The sequence below is a fragment of the Homo sapiens genome, chromosome 13 (assembly GCF_000001405.40).
Source record: "Homo sapiens chromosome 13, GRCh38.p14 Primary Assembly".
NCBI lineage: Eukaryota > Metazoa > Chordata > Mammalia > Primates > Hominidae > Homo > Homo sapiens.
The window spans coordinates 77,696,862-77,718,427 of record NC_000013.11 but is presented as its reverse complement, the minus strand read 5'-3'; the positions used below and the strand labels follow the sequence as shown (position 1 = coordinate 77,718,427).

Genomic DNA, 21,566 nt, shown 5'->3' with positions numbered 1-21,566 from the left:
GCTTTGTAAGCCACATGATCTCTGTCACAACTACTCAGCCCTGCCATTCCAGTCCAAAGGCATCCTAGACAATATGTAAGCGAATAAACGTGGCTGTGTTCCTTTAAAATTGATTTATAGACATTGAAAGTTGAATTTCCCATAGTTTTCACATTCTTTGTATTTTTTTTCATCATTTAAAAACATAAAACCGTATCTTACCCACCATACAAAACATGCAACGGCTCTGATTTGCCCTTGAGACAGTTTGTTCACTCCAGTTACAGGTAAGGACTCTAAAATATAGATCTCAATGGATTTAATTGTAAGTCCAATATATTTTTTTTTTTCCTTAGAGTGTGTTGCACAGTTGTGACTCCATCAAGAGTATATATAGTTAAAAATCATATTCTTGGGCCCCAGCTCAGTCCTACTATGGCAAGATTATCACCTACCTATGTAGGTAATAATCCCTTCCACTTCCTTGCAACATAGCCTAAACTGCCCAGTACACGGTACTTCTCCCTACTCACAAGTATAGGTTAGTCCAGGCTAGTTATTCTCAATGTCTCATGCCTCAAAATTACTTAAACATCTTGTTAAGACAAATTGCTAAACCACACCCCTTAAAAGTTTGATGCATAGGGTCAAAGAATCTGGATTTCTAAGCAGCTTCCAGGTGATGCTAATATTACCGGTCTGGAGACCACATCTTGAGAGGCACTCAGCTAAGCCAATCATGGTATTTTCATTGTTCCCCTTTGCCTGACTGGTTTAGGCCCACGCCCCAGACACAATCCTAGCCAACAGAAACTGAGAGAAAATCATCTGATAAGCTTGCGGACAAGTTTTTCCTTAAAGGGAGGTGGAAGTGTCACAAAAGACTCAATTATATGCTTCCTACAGGAAACGCACCTTAAACATGGGCAAACAAATAAGTTAAAAGTAAATAGCCAGAAAAGTAATCAAAAAATAAAAAATAAAAAACTACCCACAAAGAAAAACCTGGGCCCAGAAGACTTTACTGCTAAACTCTACCAAGTATTTAAAGAAAACATCAGTTCTTCACAAACTCTTCCGAAAAACAGAAGAGGAGGGAATACATCCTAATACATCCTATTAGGGCAGTGTTACCTTGACACCAAAATCAGACATTACAAATTAAGAAACTAACGGCCAATATCACACATGAACACAGATGTAAAAAGTCTAAATATTTCAGTAAATTGAGTCTAACTTCACCATTAGCATATTTCACCATTAATAAGTGGGGTTTATATCAGAAATAAAAAGTTGGTACAAATTCAAACATCAATATAACTTATCAGATTAACTAAAATAGAAAAAGTATATAATATCAATAGAAAAAAAAGGCATTTGACATCCACTCCTGATAAAAATTCTCATCAAATCGGAAACAGAAAGAAACATCCTCAACCTGATTGAAGGCATCTACAAAAACAGCATAGTTAATGGTAAAAGGCTGAATGCTTTGCCTGTGATATCAAACAGACACAGACATTGGCTCTCATCGCTTCTATTTAACACTCTGCTGAAGATCCTAGCCAATGCAATCAGGCATTACATTAAAAACATTTACATTGGAAAGAAACAAGTAAATCTGTCTTTATTCACAGATGACATGATCATCTATGTAAAAAAAATCTGAAGAATCTACAAAAATGATAATAGCATAAGTGAGTTTAGTAGCAAGATTGTAAGATACCAGATTGATGTAGGAAAGTCAATTGTATACTTATATATATTAACAACAAACGAATTCATATTTTTAAAATTTCACTTTTCATTTACTATAGCATTTTTTAAAAAACCATCAGATGCTTAAGGATAAATCTGACAAAAGATGTGTAGGACCTGAACACTGAAGACTACAAAACATTCTGAGAATTAAAGAGGACATAACTGGAGAGATATGCCATTTTCGTGAGTAAGAAAACTAAATATTAAGATGTCAATTCTCCTTAAATTGGTCCACATAATTTGCAAAATCCCAATAGAAATTCCAGCAAGCTTTTTTGTAGAAATGTAGATGATCTAAAATTCATATGGAAATGCAAAGATCTTAGAATAGCCAAACAAATGTTAAAAAAAAAAAATGGAGAGCTATACCACTGATTGAAGCTCATGACAGTAATGAAAACAGTTTAGTGTAGCATAAAAATAAACGGATCAGTGGAAAAAAATAGCCCAGAAATAAAACCACACATATATGGAGGATTTTTAGTAAAACACAATTTAAAGGATAGTCTTTTAAATAAATGGTGTTGGAACAAAATGGGTATCTATATGTGAGAAAAAAAAAAACAAAACTTTGATCCACAGTACAAACACTATCCAAAACTAACTCAAAATAGAGCACAGACAAAAATGTAAAACTTGAAACAGTAACACTTTTATAAGAAACCAAAGGTAAAAGTATGTGTGTCCTTGAGTTGGCAAATGCTTCTTAGATACAATTTATAAGACTGAAAATATGATCCATAAAAGAAAAAACATCAATTGGACTTCATCAAAATTAAAAACTTTTCTTTTTGAAAGACATTGCTAAAAGGATGAGTGATAAACCACAGATTGGGAAAGACATATTTGCAAATCATATATCTACCAAAGAACTTTTATGCAGAAAACAAGAAACTACAAATAGCAAACAACTCAATTTTAAAAATAGACAAAAGTTTCGATTACACATTTCACCAAAGAAGACCTATTATGGCAAACAGCTATATGAAAAGATGTTCATCATTAATCATTAGAAAAATAGCTAAAACCACAATGAGATTCTACCACATACCTATTGGAATGGCTAAAATGAAAAATACTACCCATAGCAAGTGTTAAGAAAGATTTGGTGCCACTGAAAACTTCATACACTGGTTATGAAAATGAAAAATGGTGAAACCACTTTGGAAAAGAGTTTGGCAGCTTCTTAAAAAGTTAACCTACACTTACTCTCTGTTCCAGACACTCAAGTCAGAAGTATTTACCCAAGAGAAATGAAAGCATGTTCATATGAAGACTTAAACATAAATGTCTGCAGTTTTATTTGTCATAACCCAAAACTAAAAACAACCCAAGTGCCCATCAAAAGATGAGTGGATAAACAAGCCATGGTTACAATGATGAAATCTAACAGCTCCCACAATAAAAATGAACTACTGATTCATGTAATAACACAAATTTCAAAATAACTATCTAGCTTGAAAGAAGCCAGACCAAAACAAACAAATGGAAGAGTACATAGTCTGTGACTTTATTGATATAAAACTATAAAAAATGCAAACTGCCTGTAATCCCAGCACTTTTAGAGACCAAGGTGGGCAAATCACAAGGTCAGGAGATCGAGACCATCCTGGCCAACATGGTGAAACCCTGTCTCTACTAAAAATACGAAAATTAGCTGCATGTGGTGGCATGCACCTGTAATCCCAGCTACTCAGGAGGCTGAGGCAAGAGAATCATTTGAACCCGAGAGGTGGAGGTTGCAGTGAGCTGAGATAGTGCCACTGAACTCCAGTCTGGGTGACTAATCTAAACTGACAGAAAACAGATCAGGGGTTGCCTGGGTTGGAGGTAGCAAGGATCAGGAGGGAAAGAATAAGGAAAACAAGGGGCCACAGGAAACTTCAAGTGTTGAAATCTGTTCACTACACATTAACTGTGGTCATGATTTCCCGGGTATATATACATGTTAAAGTCTATCAAATTGTACATTACAAGAATGTGCAGTTTACATATTAATTGTATTCCAATAAAGCAGTTTTTAAAAAGTCACAAGATAAGGAATCACTGCTTTGTGGTTTTGTTTGTTCTGTTTTGAGACATGGTCTTGCTCTGTCACCCAGGCTGGAGTGCAGTGGGACAAACACACCTCACTGCAGCTTTGACCTTCTGAGCTCAAGTAATCCTCCCACCTCAGCCTCCTGAGTTGCTAGGATCATAGGCATGCACCACCACACCCAGCTATTTTATAAGTTTTTTTGTAGAGATGTGGTCTTCCTATGTTGTCGAGGCTGGTCTCAAAAGCCTGGGCTCAAGTGATCTTCCTGCCTTAGCCTCTCAAGGTGCTGGGATTACAGGTGTGACCCACCATGACCAGTACTCAGTGTTCTTAAGATGAGAAATTCATAGCTGCCATCTACCACGTATGTAAAAAGCCATGAATACCACAGCCCTGACAGAAATGAGCCACTAGTTAGTCAACTGTGGAGTTTCCTTATCTCAATACTTTTTTCACCAATTTTCCTTATTTTTTTATTACTATACTTTAAGTTCTGGGATATATGTGCAGAAGGTGCAGGATTTTTTACACAGGTATACACGTGCCATAGTGGTTTGCTGCACCCATCAACTGTCATCTACGTTAGGCATTTCTCCTAATGCTATCCCTCCCCTAGCCCCCCACCCCTCGACAGGCCCTGGTGTGTGATGTTCCACTCCCTGTGTCCATGTGTTCTCATTGTTCAACTCCCACCTATGAGTGAGAACATGCAGTGTTTGGTTTTCTGTTCCTGTGTTAGTTTGCTGAGAATGATGGTTTCCAGCTTCATCCATGTCCCTGCAAAGGACATGAACTCATCCTTTTTTTATGGCTGAACAGTATTCCATGGTGTGTATGTGCCACATTTTCTTTATCCAGTCTACTATTGATGGGCATTTGGGTTGGTTCCAAGTCTTTACTATTGTGAACAGTGCCACAATAAACATACGTGTGCATGTGTCTTTATAGTAGAATGATTTATAATCCTTTGGGTATATACCCAGTAATGGGATGGCTGGGTCAAATGATATTTCTGGTTCTAGATCCTTGAGGAATCGCCACACTGTCTTCTACAATGGTTGAACTAATTTACACTCCCACCAACAGTGTAAAAGTGTTCCTATTTCTCCACATCCTCTCCAGCATCTGTTGTTTCCTGACTTTTTAATGATCGCCATTCTAACTGGTGTGAGATGCTATCTCATTGTGGTTTTGATTTACATTTCTCTAATGACCAGTGATGATGAGCTTTTTTTCATGTTTGCTGGCCGCATAAATGTCTTCTGTTGAGAAGTGTCTGTTCATATCCTTCGCCCACTTTTTGATGGGGTTGTTTTTTTCTTGTAAATTTGTTTAAGTTCCTTGTGGATTCTGGATATTAGCGCTTTGTCAGGTGGATAGATTGCAAAAATTTTCTCCCATTCAGTAGGCTGCATAAGCTCTTTAGTTTAATTAGATCCCATTTGTCAATTTTGGCTTTTGTTGCCATTGCTCTTGGTGTTTTACTCATGAAGTCTTTGCCCATGCCCATGTCCTGAATGGTATTGCCCAGGTTTTCTTCTAGGGTTTTTACGGTTTTAGGTCTTACGTTTAAATCTTTAATCTATCTTGAGTTAATTTTTGCATAAGGTGTAAGGAAGGGGTCTGGTTTCAGTTTTCTGCATATGGCTAGCCAGTTTTCCCAGCACCATTTATTAAATAGGGAATCCTTTCCCCATTACTTGTTTTGGTCAGGTTTGTCAAAGATCAGATGGTTGTAAATGTGTGGCATTATTTCTGAGGCCTCTGTTCTGTTCCATTGGTCTATATATCTGTTTTGGTACCAGTACCATGCTGTTTTGGTTACAGTAGCTTTGTAGTAGAGTTTGAAATCAGGTAGCATGATACCTCCAGCTTTGTTCTTTTTGCTTAGGATTGTCTTGGCTATATGGGCTCTTTTTTGGTTCCATATGAAATTTGAAATAGTTTTTTCTAATTATGTGAAGAAAGTCAATGGTAGCTTGATGGGGATGGCACTGAATCTATAAATTACTTTGGGCAGTATGGCCATTTTGACGATATTGATTCTTCCTATCCATGAGCATGGAATGTATTTCCATTTGTTTGTGTCCGCTCTGATTTCCTTGAGCACTGGTTTGTAGTACTTGAAAACGTCCTTCACATTTCTTGTGAGTTGTATTTCTAGATATTTTATTCTCTTTGTAGCAATTGTGAATGGGAGTTCACTCATGATTTGGCTGTTCATTATTAGTGTATAGAAATACTTGTGATTTTTTGCACATTGATTTTGTATCCTGAGACTTTGCTGAAGTTGCTTATCAGCTTAAGGTGATTTTGGGCTGAGATGATGGGGTTTTCTCAATATACAATCATGTCATCTGCAAACAGAGACAATTTGACTTCCTCTCTTCCTATTTGAATACCATTTCTTTCTTTCTCTTGTCTGATTGCCCTGGCCAGAACTTCCAATACTATGTTGAATAGGAGTGGTGAGAGAGGGCATCTTTGTCTTGTGCCAGTTTTCAAAAGGAATGCTTCCAGCTTTTGCCAATTCAGTATGATACTGGCTGTGGGTTTGTCATAAATAGCTCTTATTATTTTGAGATACATTCCATCAATACCTAGTTTATTGAGAGTTTTTAAGCATGAAAGGGTGATAAATTTTATCGATGCCTTTTTCTGCACCTATTAATTATGTGGTTTTGTGATTGGTTCTGTTTATGTGATGATTATGTTTATGATTTGCATATGTTGAACCAGCCCTGCATCCCGGGGATGAAGCCGACTTGACCGTGGTGGATAAGCTTTTTGATGTGCTGTTGGATTCGATTTGCCAGTATTTTACTGAGGATTTTCACATCGATGTTCATCAGGGATATTGGGCTGAAATTTTCTTTTTTATTTGTGTCTCTGCCAGGTTTTGGTATCAGGATGATGCTGGTCTCATAAAATGAGTTAGGGAGGAGCCCCTCTCTTTCTATTGTTTGGAATAGTTTCAGAAGGAATGGTACCAGCTCCTCTTTGCACCTCTGGTAGAATCTGGCTCTGAATCCATCTGATCCTGGGCTTTTTTTGGTTGATAGGTTATTAATTACTGCCTTAATTCCAGAATTTATTACTGGTCTATTCAGGGATTCGACTTCTTCCTGGTTTAGTCTGGGGAGGGTGTTTGTGTCCAGAAATTGATCCATTTCTTCTAGATTTCCTAGTTTATTTTCATAGAGGTATTTATAGTATTCTCAGATGGTAGTTTGTATTTCTGTGGGATCAGTGGTGATATCCCCTTTATCATTTTTTATTGTGTGTATTTGATTCTTCTCTCTTTTCTTCTTTAATAGTCTGGCTAGCGGTCTATCTATTTTGTTGGTCTTTTCAAAAAACCAGCTCCTGGATTCATTAACTTTTTAAAAGGGTTTTTCATGTCTCTATCTCCTTCAGTTCTGCTTAGTTATTTCTTGTTGTCTGCTAGCTTTTGAATTTGTTTGCTCTTGCTTCTCTAGTTCTGTTAATTGTGATATTAGGGTGTTGATCTGAGATCTTTCCTGCTTTCTCTGGTGGGCATTTAGTGCTATAAATTTCCCTCTGAACACTGCTTTAGCTGTGTCCCATAGATTCTGGGACATTGTGTCTTTGTTCTCATTGGTTTTAAAGAACTTATTTCTGCCTTAATTTCTTTATTTACCCAGTAGTCATTCAGGAGCAGGTTGTTCAGTTTCCATGTAATTGTGCGGTTTTCAGTCAGTTTCTTAATCCTGCGTTCTAATTTGATTGCACTGTGGTCTGAGAGACTGTTATGATTTCCATTCTTTTGCCTTTGCTGAGGAGTGTTTTACTTCCAATTATGTGGTCAATTTTAGAATAAGTGTGACATGGTGCTGAAAAGAATGTATATTCTGTTGATTTGGGGTGGAGAGTTCTGTAGATGTCTATTAGGCCCACTTGGTCCACAGCTGAGTTCAAGTCCTGAATATCCTTGCTAATTTTCTGTCTCATTGATCTAATATTGACAGTGGGGTGTTAGAGTCTCCCACTATTATTGTGTGGGAGTCTAAGTCTCCTTGTAGGTCTCTAAGAACTTGTTTTATGAATCTGGGTCCTCCTGTATTGGGTGGATATATATTTAGGATAGTTAGCTCTTCTTGTTGCACTGATCCCTTTACCATTATGTGATGCCCTTCTTTGTCTCTTTTGATCTTTGTTGGTTTAAAGTCTGTTTTATCAGAGACTAGGATTGCAACCCATGTTTTTTTGTTTTGTTTTTTTTTGTTTTCCATTTGCTTGGTAAATATTCCTCCATCCCTTTATTTTGAGCCTATATGTGCCTTTGCATGTGAGATGGGTCTCCTGAATACAGCACACCAATGGGTCTTGACTCTTTATACAATTTGCCAATCTGTGTCTTTTAATTGGGGTATTTATCCCATTTACGTTTAAGGTTAATATTGTTATGTGTGAATTTGATCCTGTCATTATGATGCCAGCTGGTTATTTTGCCCATTAGTTGATGTGGTTTCTTCATAGTATCACTGGTCTTTACAATTTGGTATGTTTTTGCAGTGGCTGGTACTGGTTTTTCCTTTCCATTGTTAGTTCTTCCAAGGCCAGATGCGGTGGCTCACACCTGTAATCCCAGCACTTTGGGAGGCTGAGCCTGGCAGATCATCTGAGGTCAGGAGTTCAAGACCAGCCTGACCAATGTGGCAAAACCCCGCCTCTACTAAAAATACAAAAAATTACCCAGGCCTGGTAGTGGGTGCCTGTAATCCCAACTACTCAGGAGGCAGAGGCAGAGGAATCACTTGAACCTGGGAGGCGGGGGTTGCAGTGAGCCGAGATCGCGCCATTGCACTCCGGCCTGGGTGACAGAGTGAGACTCTGTCTCAAAAACAACAACAACAACAACAATATATTTAGTGCTTCCTTCAGGAGCTCTTGTAAGGCAGGACTGGAGGTGACAAAATCTCTCAGCATTAGCTTGTCTGTAAAGGATTTTATTTTTCCTTCGCTTTTGAAGCTTCATTTGGCTGGATATGAAATTCTGGGTTGAAAATTCTTTTCTTTAAGAATGTTGAATATTGGCCCCCACTCTCTTCTGGCTTGTAGGGTTTCTACAGAGAGATCCGCTGTTAGTCTAATGGGCTTCCCTTTGTGGGTAATTCCTCTTTGGCTGCTCTTAACTTTATTCCCTTCATTTCCACCTTGGTGAATCTGACAATTTTGTGTCTTGGAGTTGTTCTTCTCGAGGAGTATCTTTGTTGTGTTCTGTGTATTTCCTGCATTTGAATGTTGGCCTGTCTTGCTAGGTTGGGAAAGGTCTCCTGGATAATATCCTGAAGAGTGTTTTCCAACTTGGTTCCATTCTCCCAGTCACTTTCAGGTACACCAAATGTAGGTTTGGTCTTTTCACATAGTCCCATATTTCTTGGAGGCTTTGTTAATTCCTTTTCATTTGTTTTTCTCTAATCTTGTCTTCATGCTTTATTTCATTAAGGTGATCTTCAATCTCTGATATACCTTCTTCTGCTTGATTGATTTGGCTATTGATACTTGTGTATGCTTCATGAAGTTCTCGTGCTGTGTTTTTCAGCTCCATCAGGTCATTTATGTTCTTCCCTGAACTGGTTGTTCTAGTTAGCAATTCCTCCAACCTTTTTTCAAAGTTCTTAGCTTCCTTGCATTGTATTAGAACATGCTCCTTTAGCTCGGAGGAGTTTGTTATTACCCACCTTCTGAAGTCTATTTCTGTCAATTCATCAAACTCATTCTCCGTCCAGTTTTGTTCCCTTGCTGGCAAGGAGTTGTGATCCTTTGGAGGAGAAGAGGCATTCTGGTTTTTGGAATTTTCAGCCTTTTTGCACTGTTTTTTCCTCATCTTCGTGGATTTATCTACCTTTGGTCTTTGATGTTGGTGACCTTTGGATGGGGTTTCTGTGTGGACGTCCTTTTTATTGATGCTGATGCTATTCCTTTCTGTTTGTTAGTTTTCCTTCTAACAGTCAGACTCCTCTGCTGCAGGTCTGCTGGGGTTTTCCTGAGGTCCACTCCAGACTCTGTATGTCTGGGTATCACCAGCAGTAGCTGCAGAACAGCAAAGATTGCTGCCTGTTCCTTCCTCTGGAAGCTTTGTTCCAGAGGGGCACCTGCCAGATGCGAGCCAGAGCTCTCCCGTATGAGGTGTCTGTCAACCCCTGCTGGAGAATTCATGTTTCTGTCTGAGCTTGTGCCTGTTGTTTTCAAATCCCTCTCAGCTACCATCTGAAACTGCTATCTAAAGCACGGCTCTGCCTGTTACCTCCAGTATCCAATGGGAGAATTGCTGATCTCTTCTGCTGCTAGGAAGCTTCCTCCAACCAGCTTGACTCTGGATTCCAGATACTCCCATTCACTTTTTTTGATAGAGTCCTTTTTTTGTTTGTAGGGGAACACCACAGTAAGGTGTCTTCAATTACTTAGGGCCTATGTGATACAAATATTTCATTTGTCCACACTGCCTCACAGCATATTCAAAAGCAGTGCTCATTTCTACAGGCACATTCAGTTTCTAAGTGACCCACTATGCCATGTTCACTTATGGAGATTTCTCTTTCATACTCCATAGTCCAATTCCTATTGTCTGGTACTATATCTCATTCCCACTCCGCATTTCATAGAAGGTAGGGATGATCATGGCACTAAAAGCAGTGAATCCAGTTGAAAGTCTACCTAAGGGACAACTGGAATCCCAAATCCCCTCCAATACAGCCAGTCCTACCACCCCTCTTCATCTCAACCTGAGATCAGAGACTTTGCTATGTGAATAAGCTGATCCAGAGAAGCCCTGACTTCAGGCACACCAAACTTAGCTGAAGGATAAATGAGGTACCTTACTTAACCAAACATTAAATGGAAGTCCACATGCTGACTCGTTAGAATTCTGGTCCCATTTCTTTCTTTATATTCCTAGAAATGACTGCCTTGCTTACATCTCCTAGGAGTATAGAAGGTTTATGCATAGAGAAAAAGATGAATCCAAGAGAAGACCTAGAGATGCTTGAATGTGGCCTGGCTACCCATCCAATCACTAGTAAACTGCACCAAGGAGCTCCATCCATTAAGAGCTTTAGATCGGCTTCGGCACCTCCTTTGGGTATGAACAGACAACCAGTGACACCAAATATGTGAAATATTCCTTTTACATGAAACACTGAGACTAAAAGTAGAGGGAGTAAAGAGAACCAAAGAGAAAAACAATGCAGGGAACAGATGAAAATGTCAAGACGAATATAATTTATATCATCTAAAAGAAAATGTTACATTCACACACACACACAAGCACACACATACACATGGATATTGAAAAAAACAGTTTATTCATGCTTGGGAAATGAAACTATCATAGCAAAAACAAAAGAGTCAGTAAATGAGTTTGGAATATCAAGTTGAAGAAGTCTCCTGAAAACAAAATAAAAACAGATTAGCAATGGGATAAGACAGATAAGAAAATCAAGTGATTAAGCCAGATGGAATGACCTACATCTGTCTGTTACAAGTTCTTAAAAAAAAGAAAGAAAGAAAAGAAAGAAACTGGAAAGTTATTTTGAAGAAAAAAAAAAGAGCAAGAAAATTTCCAGAGTGGAAGTCAGGCCATGCAATTCTAGAGTGAAAGTGTGCACGAATGTCCAGTATATTAAATAAAATAACCCATACCAAGGTACAACATGACATTTTAGAATACTAGGAATAAAGGAAGCAAAAGAAAAAGTCAAAAAGGATTAGATATCCAAACACAGTGCACTCAACAGCTAGAACATAACAGAAGCTAGAACAAAATGGAACAGTGCCTTCAAACATGAGGGAAAGGTTAACTTAGACTTTTATAGCCAGTCCAACTATGAATCTTATGTAAGGGCAGAACAATGACATTTTCAAATACGCAGGATCTCAAAGTGTGCCTCTCCTGCAGGTCTCCTTTCTCAGAAAGCTATTGAAGGCTGTGCCCCACCTAAGAGAATAAAAAAAATACAAACGAAAAGGATTTAAGAAGAAGGGAATCCACATTGCCAAGAAACTGAAAGAGTTCCCATGGCAACAGCAGTATGCATCCAGCTTAGGGGGCAAACAGTAAAAACTAGAGCAATGAGATTAAGAGTTTCAGAGGGGATAGCACTACAATATAAATTTTAAAAAAGCAGATTTAACAGACTGCCAAATGTGTATGACCTTAATGAGGGATTTTATGGCTCCTTTAGCGTGTTTGGGGAAATAATTTCTGATAGGTAATTAAAGAAAGTGAAGAGGAGAGAAGAAGTGCCATTACTAACTCTTGGAGGAACAAAGGGGTCAGAGAAAATACATGTTTAACATGCAATTAACAGGACTTAGCTAGTAAATTATAATCATAATGCAGACATTAAATATAAAAGAAAAACCATAAAAACCATTATGAGAAGGGAAAAGAGATATGGTAGTCAAGGGTGAGAGGAAGAGAGCTAAGTTTTCTTCTTTCATAATAAGTCCATAGATGTCTAAGATCATAAAAGTATAAAGACTGTTTAGGAAAAAGAAACAGCTAGTAGAGTATAAAGTGATGCCTATGTGAAGGACTCAGCAGGAGGAGGGAGTAGAGGACTGCTTCCTGTAATAAGCCTAACAAGGGGAGTTTTGAAAACTACTAACATGTTATTATATTATTTTGATAAAACTGTTGAGGTGCTATACAAATGTATGGCATTAAGACAGAAGTGATCATTTTCAGAGTCAGTCTCCTGACAGTGAGCAGGATAGCTTTGAGCCTAGTGTTTCTATGACTTGGCCTAGAGCTGGATTTAAAGAAAGAAAAAGCCCACAATAACCCTGAATGTTTCCAATGAAGTATGACAATTGTCTAGAAAAAAAAAGTCTCAGTTATTCTCAAAATATTTGGTTCTAAAGTCATCTTTTTGCAGATAATACAAAAAACTAGTTATAGAGATCATGTGGCTAAAAACTCCTTGAGTACAACACAGCTCCAAAATTAGATAGGCAAGGTTTTTAAAAAAAAAAAAAAATCTGTATTTCTCCTATATAGCTCTAACCCTCCAAAAAGTCATTTTAAAAATCACTTTATTCAATGTCATTAGAATGCAAGTAACATTTACAATGTCCTATCTGGCCATCATTAGTACATCATACATTCTAGTGACTTATAAACATTTTTTTCAACTTCAGTAGTTTCATTAATGGTATATTGGATTCTGGCAAGAGCATCTGAAAAGTCTTAATCTAAATTTTCAGAATTCTTCAAATTATATTTGAAATATACATTTCAAACTACTATTTGGAATGTCACTCTAATTTTCTTTAACTTTTCTTAAATTGCTTCCAAACCACACACACCAGAAACTACTATCCTTCTCATAGAACCCCTTCTTTTCCATACACATCACATTCTATGCTGGGAGAACAAAAATAATATAAAGCCCATGATAACCCTGAATGTTTCCAATGAAGTATGACAACTGTCTGGAAAACAAAGTCTCAGTTATTCTCAAAATATTTGGTTCTAAAGTCATCTTTTTGCAGATAATACAAAAAACAAATGGTACAGTCACATATGTATACACACAAGTATATATTTTATGTGTGTATATATACATATAAAACCTCTGTATATACAGTTTCTATGTATATATACATATAAAACCTCTGTATATACAGTTTCTATGTATATATACATATAAAACCTCTGTATATACAGTTTCTATGTATATATACATATAAAACCTCTGTATATACAGTTTCTATGTATATATACATATAAAACCTCTGTATATACAGTTTCTATGTATATATACATATAAAACCTCTGTATATACAGTTTCTATGTATATATACATATAAAACCTCTGTATATACAGTTTCTATGTATATATACATATAAAACCTCTGTATATACAGTTTCTATGTATATATACATATAAAACCTCTGTATATACAGTTTCTATGTATATATACATATAAAACCTCTGTATATACAGTTTCTATGTATATATACATATAAAACCTCTGTATATACAGTTTCTATGTATATATACATATAAAACCTCTGTATATACAGTTTCTATGTATATATACATATAAAACCTCTGTATATACAGTTTCTATGTATATATACATATAAAACCTCTGTATATACAGTTTCTATGTATATATACATATAAAACCTCTGTATATACAGTTTCTATGTATATATACATATAAAACCTCTGTATATACAGTTTCTATGTATATATACATATAAAACCTCTGTATATACAGTTTCTATGTATATATACATATAAAACCTCTGTATATACAGTTTCTATGTATATATACATATAAAACCTCTGTATATACAGTTTCTATGTATATATACATATAAAACCTATGTATATATTTTCTATATATATACATATAAAACATATGTACATATATTTTCTATGTATATATACATATAAAACATATGTATATATATTTTCTATGTATATATATACATATAAAACATATGTATATATATTTTCTATGTATATATATACATATAAAACATATGTATATATATTTTCTATGTATATATATACATATAAAACATATGTATATATATTTTCTATGTATATATATACATATAAAACATGTATATATATTTTCTATGTATATATATACATATAAAACATGTATATATATTTTCTATGTATATATATACATATAAAACATATGTATATATATTTTATATGTGTATATATACACATATAAAAATATATATGTGTGTGTGTATATATATATATATAATTTTTTTTTTTTAGACCTGCCACTGAAAAGTAATATGTGGTAATTTTCAGACAAATAATTTTAAGAGCCTTCAATCTCTGCAAGTTTTATTTTAAGGAAAGCTGAAACATCAACACTAATAAGCACGATCAACGAATCTTTAGTTCTCTGTAACAGTGTTTGAGTCACTGGCACCTGCTAGGATCAAACTAGATAGCCACTACAATACTTAGTTCCAACAGGCTCTTAAAAGGATACATGAAGTTCAAGCGTTACTTACTAAGCTGTCCTATAACAAACTTTCCCTCCACCCCCAACCCTGCCTCGCCCAGTTGCAGGTAAACTACTTCAGCACCTCACTTCAACATTTAAAAGTTACTTATTTCAAACACACGTCATACACTTCAGTCAACTCCATTTGCTCCTAGAAAACATTGTACATTTTCAATTAGCACTGTCAAAAAGGGAAGCACCCTCTGGTCTTTTCACTGAAAATCAATTATGCAAAAAACAGTTTAGGTGGTCTAATTTAGTTGTGCCATATGTATAGCACAAGGTGTTCAACAGCTTTGATGAAAAATTGGCAATGATGTTAGCCAGCTGTCTGGGGTCTTGGTATTACATGTGGAAGATGAATATCTCATTCATTAAATTTTTCTTAATTTGTACAAGTCACCATTTTTCCTTGTATAATTAACAACTTTTCCATTGTCTTTCCCAGTTGGGAAAGTTAAAAATCCTTGCCACATCCTGTTTATATAGTCTCAATGTTCTGTTAATTGTCATTCTACTAAAATAAAGCCTCCTTATATGGCTGCATTTTATATTGGCTGACTTATTTTTATCGTGGCATTTTCTCATATAGAACCATCTTCCTGGTTGAGGTGTGCAAGACCTAACTTCCCTTCAGAGTACTATACTATCTTCAGTGCTTTTCCACCTGCTTTCTCCGTTTTGCTTTCAAACAGTATAGAGTTTTGTTAACTTTGATCATAATGCAAAAATACGTTTAATATTTCCACATCTATAAAACTAAAACATATTTAATCAAAGCAAGCATTGTATTATAAGATGTGATAAACTCTGATTTTCTATTCTACTGCACTTCACTTTTTTAAAATGCTGGTCAATCCACTAAATTGACTTTATAAACTTACTAATGAGTTACACAGCTAGCTCTGGGGAAAAAAAAATATCAGTGATGTAAACACTTCTGAATCTGGACAAATAATCTGATTTTTAGTCTGAACTCTATCAGTAACTAGAAGAGCTTACATAAGCCATTTTGCCTCAGAGCTCCCGTCCCTCAACACTGAAATAAGAGGGCTGAAACAGGTCATAGGAAGGTCTAGTATGCAGTTAGCTAATGGCTCCCATTGCCACTTCAGACCAATCTGAATTACTCTGTTTGTACTCTGGTGCTGCAGAGCCTGGTGACATTAGGACAAATATAAATCTTAAAAACATTTCTTCCATAAAGATAGAAAAAGCATCCAATCACACTGTGTCCCATGTATGCATGGATATTTTAGTCCCTTTGAGCTTTTTATTTGCTCCTGATACTCAGACTTTTCCCTTTTCCTTTCTAGCCAATGGCCTTCTGGAGAGCTAAGCCTATCAAATTAGTAAGATAACTGAGGAATCAGTATAGCAGGATGAGAGTTTTACTATAGGGCTATAAGATGACTTAAGAATTCAGGTTCACGATAGCAAAGACTTGGAACCAACCCAAATGTCCAACAATGATAGACTGGATTAAGAAAATGTGGCACATATACACCATGGAATACTATGCAGCCATAAAAAATGATGAGTTCATGTCCTTTGTAGGGACATGGATGAAATTGGAAATCATCATTCTCAGTAAACTATCGCAAGAACAAAAAACCAAACACCGCATATTCTCACTCATAGGTGGGAATTGAACAATGAGATCACATGGACACAGGAAGGGGAATATCACATTCTGGGGACTGTAGTGGGGTGGGGGGAGGGGGGAGGGATAGCATTGGGAGATATACCTAATGCTAGATGATGAGTTAGTGGGTGCAGCGCACCAGCATGGCACATGTATACATATGTAACTAACCTGCACAATGTGCACATGTACCCTAAAACTTAAAGTATAATAATAAAAAATAAATAAATAAGTAAAGAAAGAAAGAAAGAAAGAAAGAATTCAGGTTCTGGAATTGCCATCAACTTTAACTTTCTGAGACACTTAATTCCAGCAATACTGTGCTAAGATAATCAGGTAGTATTAAGGCAACATTCAAGACTTAAAATTCAATTAAGATAAATATTCAAAGAAATAAGAAAATTGTTTCATCAAAGCTTTTTTGTCAAAAGGGAGAGCATAACACTCCATTCTCTTTAAAGCTGTTTTTTTTAAGATACTACTTATAGGTTAAATAATTATTCAGAAAAATGATCTCAAAGACCTGGTTAATCATTAACTAATGAACTATCATAAAGAAAATATTGGTTCTGTTAGTCATGATTTTCCTTACACACATAACTCTTAACCCAAATATTGTCCAAGTTGTTAATAAAAGGAAAATAATGTATTCTAAGGTTTTATTAGAAAAGATATACTTACATAAAAGAATAGCTAAAATATCCAGTGATTAATCTACATTTGTAAACTTTCCTGAACTTATGACATTTTTAGCAGGAAGTGCTATTCTAAATAAATAAGCAAACACATTTTGTTCAACCCATTAGGATGAAATCACAATAAAAAATGCATGAAAAACTGTAGGTGATACAGTTAACAGTAACTTGTTCCTTAATATTGTTACTCTAATAATGATGCCTTTGTTACTGGGAGATGTGATGTCACATGAATACACAAATGTCCAATGTATGTTCAATGAAAGGCAAGTGTTAAAAAAAACTGATGTGTATATGTTTGTATATTGATTGTTGTAATTATATTTTTTTATCTTGAAGGAGCTGCAGAGTATTAACAGGGTGAATTCTGAGTCACGGTAATAAATTGGGGACAAGGAAGATAATTTTTGTGACCTTATACCTACATCTATGTTTTAGTTTTTTTACAATGAGCATGTAAAACTTGTAGTTTTAAATATTTTTAAAATAAGGTACTATATACCCACTCCAGTTGTTTCTTAATAAACACAGGAAATAAAAATAAGTTGCCATCCTGCAAACATATCAGGGAACCAAATGAACAGCACTCTTATTTCTGAGACCACACTACTGGGACACTATAGTCTGCAGTGATAAAGGAACAGAGTGCTTTGCAAGCATTAACAAGTGGGTTAAACTTTAAAAATTAAACCCTGTTGATATTTTCTTCATCAAAAAGATTTGCAATGCAAACAAAATCTTGATGCATAAAATGTAATAATAAAATTATGTAAATCAGGTAACTTTAAAATTTTTAAGACCATCCCACTAAGATTAATGAACCCTCCTTGTTTTTCCACCTGGAATTCTAATCTCAGGCTTGTTTTCAGGAAGATTCTCTGCCATTTGTCTCTAGAAACATTTGTAAAGCATCAAGGCTTTGATTTATTCACCTGTGTACTTGTTGAATGAAATAGAACCTGCTTCAACTTTGATTTGCTTCAAACCATCTGAAGAGCTAATATACTAATACCACTAAGTGGGTGATTTCTGTTAAAGTTGATTATTTCAATGCTATTTGGACAAAATTAAACTATAAAAAGAAAGCCTAGGTACCAAAATGCTAGTAATAGGATGCTAACTAAATATGACAGAAATCCATTCAAAAGAAGGAAAGTTATTAATAGATTACTAATCTCATATTTACAAACAATATCACAATAAATTTTAAAATGCAAATATTTTAAGCATAAAACTGATCCCATATATCTCCCCATCAAAAATGTAAACAAGTTTCCTTCCACTGTTTACATACATACCATCAGAAAAGGCTAAGTAGGGACTAAATCAACCTAAAATAATTTGAAAGTGGCATAAGGGCTGAGAGTTATTAGTGAAATCTAAGGACCATCATGAGAGCATTTTCTAGTACCACATTCAGACTGAAACTGAGATTACTTTACAGAAATAAGGGTGCAGCTTTGAAAAAATGGCTTAAAGTTCCCAAAAGTGATGAGTTGTTTGATTTTTTTACACCTTGAGCTACCTGCACAGCTGCCAAAAAGTATTAAGGTGGATGATGAATACACCTCTGAAAGGCTTACTGTAACTCCATATATTTTGATTCTTGAATGAAACCAATTAACTAATGTACTTTACAGTTAGAGCTCTCACATGACAGAGTGTAAGGGAAAAGGAACACTGCAGTTCCCAATAGGAAACCAGTAAGGATCTCCATTTCCCAATCCCTTCCATGCAATCATGCAACAGAGACACAAAGAAAGTAATGAAAACACAGCTTGGAAAAACAGAAAGGGTCCTACATAAAAAGGACCTAAAGTAAAGAAGGACTACAGCAAGCCTCCCCCTAAAGTTACTCATTCATGGAAAGTAGACAGTGCTAACCAGATGTCAACTGAATAAATGCTGTCAGCCTCAAGTTTTCTGATAACCAAGCTAAAAAGTTTCCAAGAAATAAGAAAATAAGGCTTCTCTAATCTCACTTTTCTTCTACAGTTTAATTTAAAAAATTAAAGACAGTTCGTTGGTTCCTAGGTAAAAAAATAAATAAATAAATAAAAAAGTCCCTCCCACCTGTTCATTCCACTCCAAGAAAAGTCCTCTTTATTGGCACTATTTATGGGAAAGCCAGTGAGGTCACCCCATTTTAAAAAGCAAGTCAGTCTCTGAAAATAAGATTTCAATGAAAATGCAACGCAAAAGGGCACACGACTGCAAAATTCAAACAGCAAGAACGAACCTCTCTATAAAGAGAGATCCATCACTGCGCGGCTTCCGATGCCACCCGAGGAGGAAGAGCACGCAAATCCTGTCCAGCGTTCGTTTAAAACGAAAGAACAGTAACAGTCGCAGACAGAGGCCAACCCCTACCATCCCCCGTCATCCCTCCGAAAACACTGGGGAAAAGAGCAGCACTGAGCAAAAAGACAAGATGACATGGATTTTGCACTTAATGCTAACGAGGAGCTTGGGACCCAACAATCAGCAAATAGCAGAACCCATGGCAGATGGGGGGAAGGGGGGGCCGGTTCATCCGCAGTCGGAGCGATTAGAAAACAGGTTTCTGCCTTCATGAGAAGCCTCATCGTGGGAAGTGTCACCGCCTGGCTCAACACCTGCTGGGTCGGCCCCTCCGGGAGCCGCGGGGAGTCACCCCGGCTGCCGCGAGGGGACCCCCGTCCGCCCCCCGCCCCCGCTCCCCGGTGCCCGAAGCCCCCGAGGCCAGGGTCTCGGGGAAGGAGCGGAGCCAGGCAGTACCAGGTGTAGTCGTCCTCGTCCCGCCAGGCGGCTACGCTCTCCAGATCCAGCAATTCCACCTCGTCCAGCAGCGTGGGGGGCGGCGAGGGCGGCGCTGCAGCTGCCCCTGGCGGCGTCCCCGCGCCCCCCGGCTCCGGCCCGCCACCGCCCGCGCCGAAGAAGCCTGCTGCCGGCTTGAAGTAGACGAAGGGCGCCTCGGGTGGCTGCGCCAGGCTGCAAAGCAGGGAGGGCGCGGGGCTAGGCAGGCAGAAGGTGCCCGGGAACGCGGGGCTGGAGCCACCGCCGCTGCCACTACCGCTGCCGCCACCGCCCCCCGCGCCCAGCGCCAGCCCGAGCCCCAGGCCCCCTGAGGCCGCGGCGGTGGCCGTGGCGGCCGGGGGGCTCCGAGGACCCAAAGGCTGCAGGCCAGCGGGGGGCGGCGCGGCGGGCGGCGGCGGCGGCAGCAGCAGCAGGTGCGGGGCGGCGGCCGCGCTGGCCGCTCGACTCCGCAGCTGCTCGTTCTGCTTCTCCAGCTTGCGCACCAGCTCCTGCAGCTTCTTCACCTCCAGCTCCGCGTTCACCACCGGCCCGGAGCCCGCTCCAGAGCTGACCCCTGCCGAGGCGCATTTCACCTGCTCCGCCATCATCGTGGGCCCCGAGGGCGCCGCGGCCGCCGGGGAGTGCGCGCCGCCGCGCCGGCTCCTCGGGCCACGGGGAGGCTACGGCTCCTTCCCTGTCGCCCCGGCCTGGGGGGCCGACCACGCGCGGGCTGAGGCCGAGCCGGCGGTTCGCATCAGCACCGGGCCCTCGCCTCCGGCCGCGGCAGCCACCACCGAGCTGATCTGCACATGCTCAGTGCGTCCCTCCAGTCCCCTGGGCGTCGCGGCGGCTCCGGGTTTTAGCCGCGGCCCCGGAGCGGGGCGGGGCAAGAGCGCCGAGGGGGCGGGTGGGGGGGGGGGGGCGGAGAACCGTGGGGAAGCCCACCCAGGGGGCGGGGCCGGCAGCCCGGGTTGGGGCCGGGGAGCCGCACCCACCCTCGCTACCTAATCCCAGGGGCCTGATTGGACCTGGCCTGAACTTTCCCGCCACAAGCACCTCCTCCTGCCGCTTGGTGGGACAGTGAACTGCGCGGGTCTCTGAGGCGGTTGCGGGGACCAGGGGGTTCCCAAAGAAGCAGCTGCAGGTGCTGGCCCTCGAGTAGTGCACCACCGGCCCGCTGGTTTGCTCCCTTCCCAGCTCTCTGTTAGGCTCCGTGACAGCACTTAATAGCCACTGGCTAACGAATCCTATAGAAAACTTAAAGGCTGGGGATCGTTATTCTAAAAACCGAAAAGTGGAGATAGGGGGAACAGAAAGGCTTTGGGACCATGCCACTCATGTTCTCATTGGTAATAGAGAAGCAAAATGGTGGGAGACAGGAGACCGAGAAGAAAGAGAAGAAAGCCCTCTCTCTAAGAGGTAGAGTGGCCAGCTGCTAAGGAGACAAGTGTTTACTTATTTATTCTAAAATAGTCAAATTTGAACTGTTACCATCATTGTTTGTCACAATAAAAGAAGAACTGCTTTTTTTTTCATACTATGTATATTCATGCATTCCCCAAACAAAAGATCTTTGAGCACCTACTCTGTGCCAGGAACCATTCTAAGAGCTCGTGATGCGGGCAATGAGTACAATAGGCAAAAATGGTTATGGGGAGAA

At 38.7% G+C, this 21,566-nt stretch overlaps 1 protein-coding gene and 1 non-coding gene across 5 annotated transcripts in view, besides 3 other annotated features; one reads left to right on the top strand and one right to left on the bottom strand.

Annotated features, from left to right (window-relative positions):
• The window catches only part of SLAIN1 (SLAIN motif family member 1), a 66,543-nt gene extending 45,802 nt beyond the window's left edge, over positions 1-20,741 (bottom strand). For 2 of the 4 annotated variants that reach the window (NM_001411026.1, NM_001242868.2), the window contains exon 1: positions 19,889-20,741. In NM_001411026.1, the coding sequence (NP_001397955.1) occupies positions 19,889-20,514 (626 nt within the window). In that variant the 5' untranslated portion in view covers positions 20,515-20,741. Of the gene's footprint in view, positions 1-19,370; positions 19,548-19,888 lie in introns of those variants that run through there. The other 2 variants (NM_001366665.1, NM_001040153.4) reach the window with 1 other exon arrangement.
• Positions 19,674-19,823: a silencer, noted in NCBI's record as "silent region_5422". NCBI's record gives its function as "represses an Ori minimal core promoter by ATAC-STARR-seq in GM12878 lymphoblastoid cells {active_cell/tissue: GM12878}" and the evidence as "EXISTENCE:reporter gene assay evidence [ECO:0000049][PMID:35858748]".
• Positions 19,984-20,223: a silencer, noted in NCBI's record as "silent region_5421". NCBI's record gives its function as "represses an Ori minimal core promoter by ATAC-STARR-seq in GM12878 lymphoblastoid cells {active_cell/tissue: GM12878}" and the evidence as "EXISTENCE:reporter gene assay evidence [ECO:0000049][PMID:35858748]".
• Positions 20,312-20,416, top strand: MIR3665 (microRNA 3665). The gene has a single exon (NR_037438.1). It is a non-coding gene; the product is annotated as a microRNA 3665 (primary transcript).
• Positions 20,424-20,983: a silencer, noted in NCBI's record as "silent region_5420". NCBI's record gives its function as "represses an Ori minimal core promoter by ATAC-STARR-seq in GM12878 lymphoblastoid cells {active_cell/tissue: GM12878}" and the evidence as "EXISTENCE:reporter gene assay evidence [ECO:0000049][PMID:35858748]".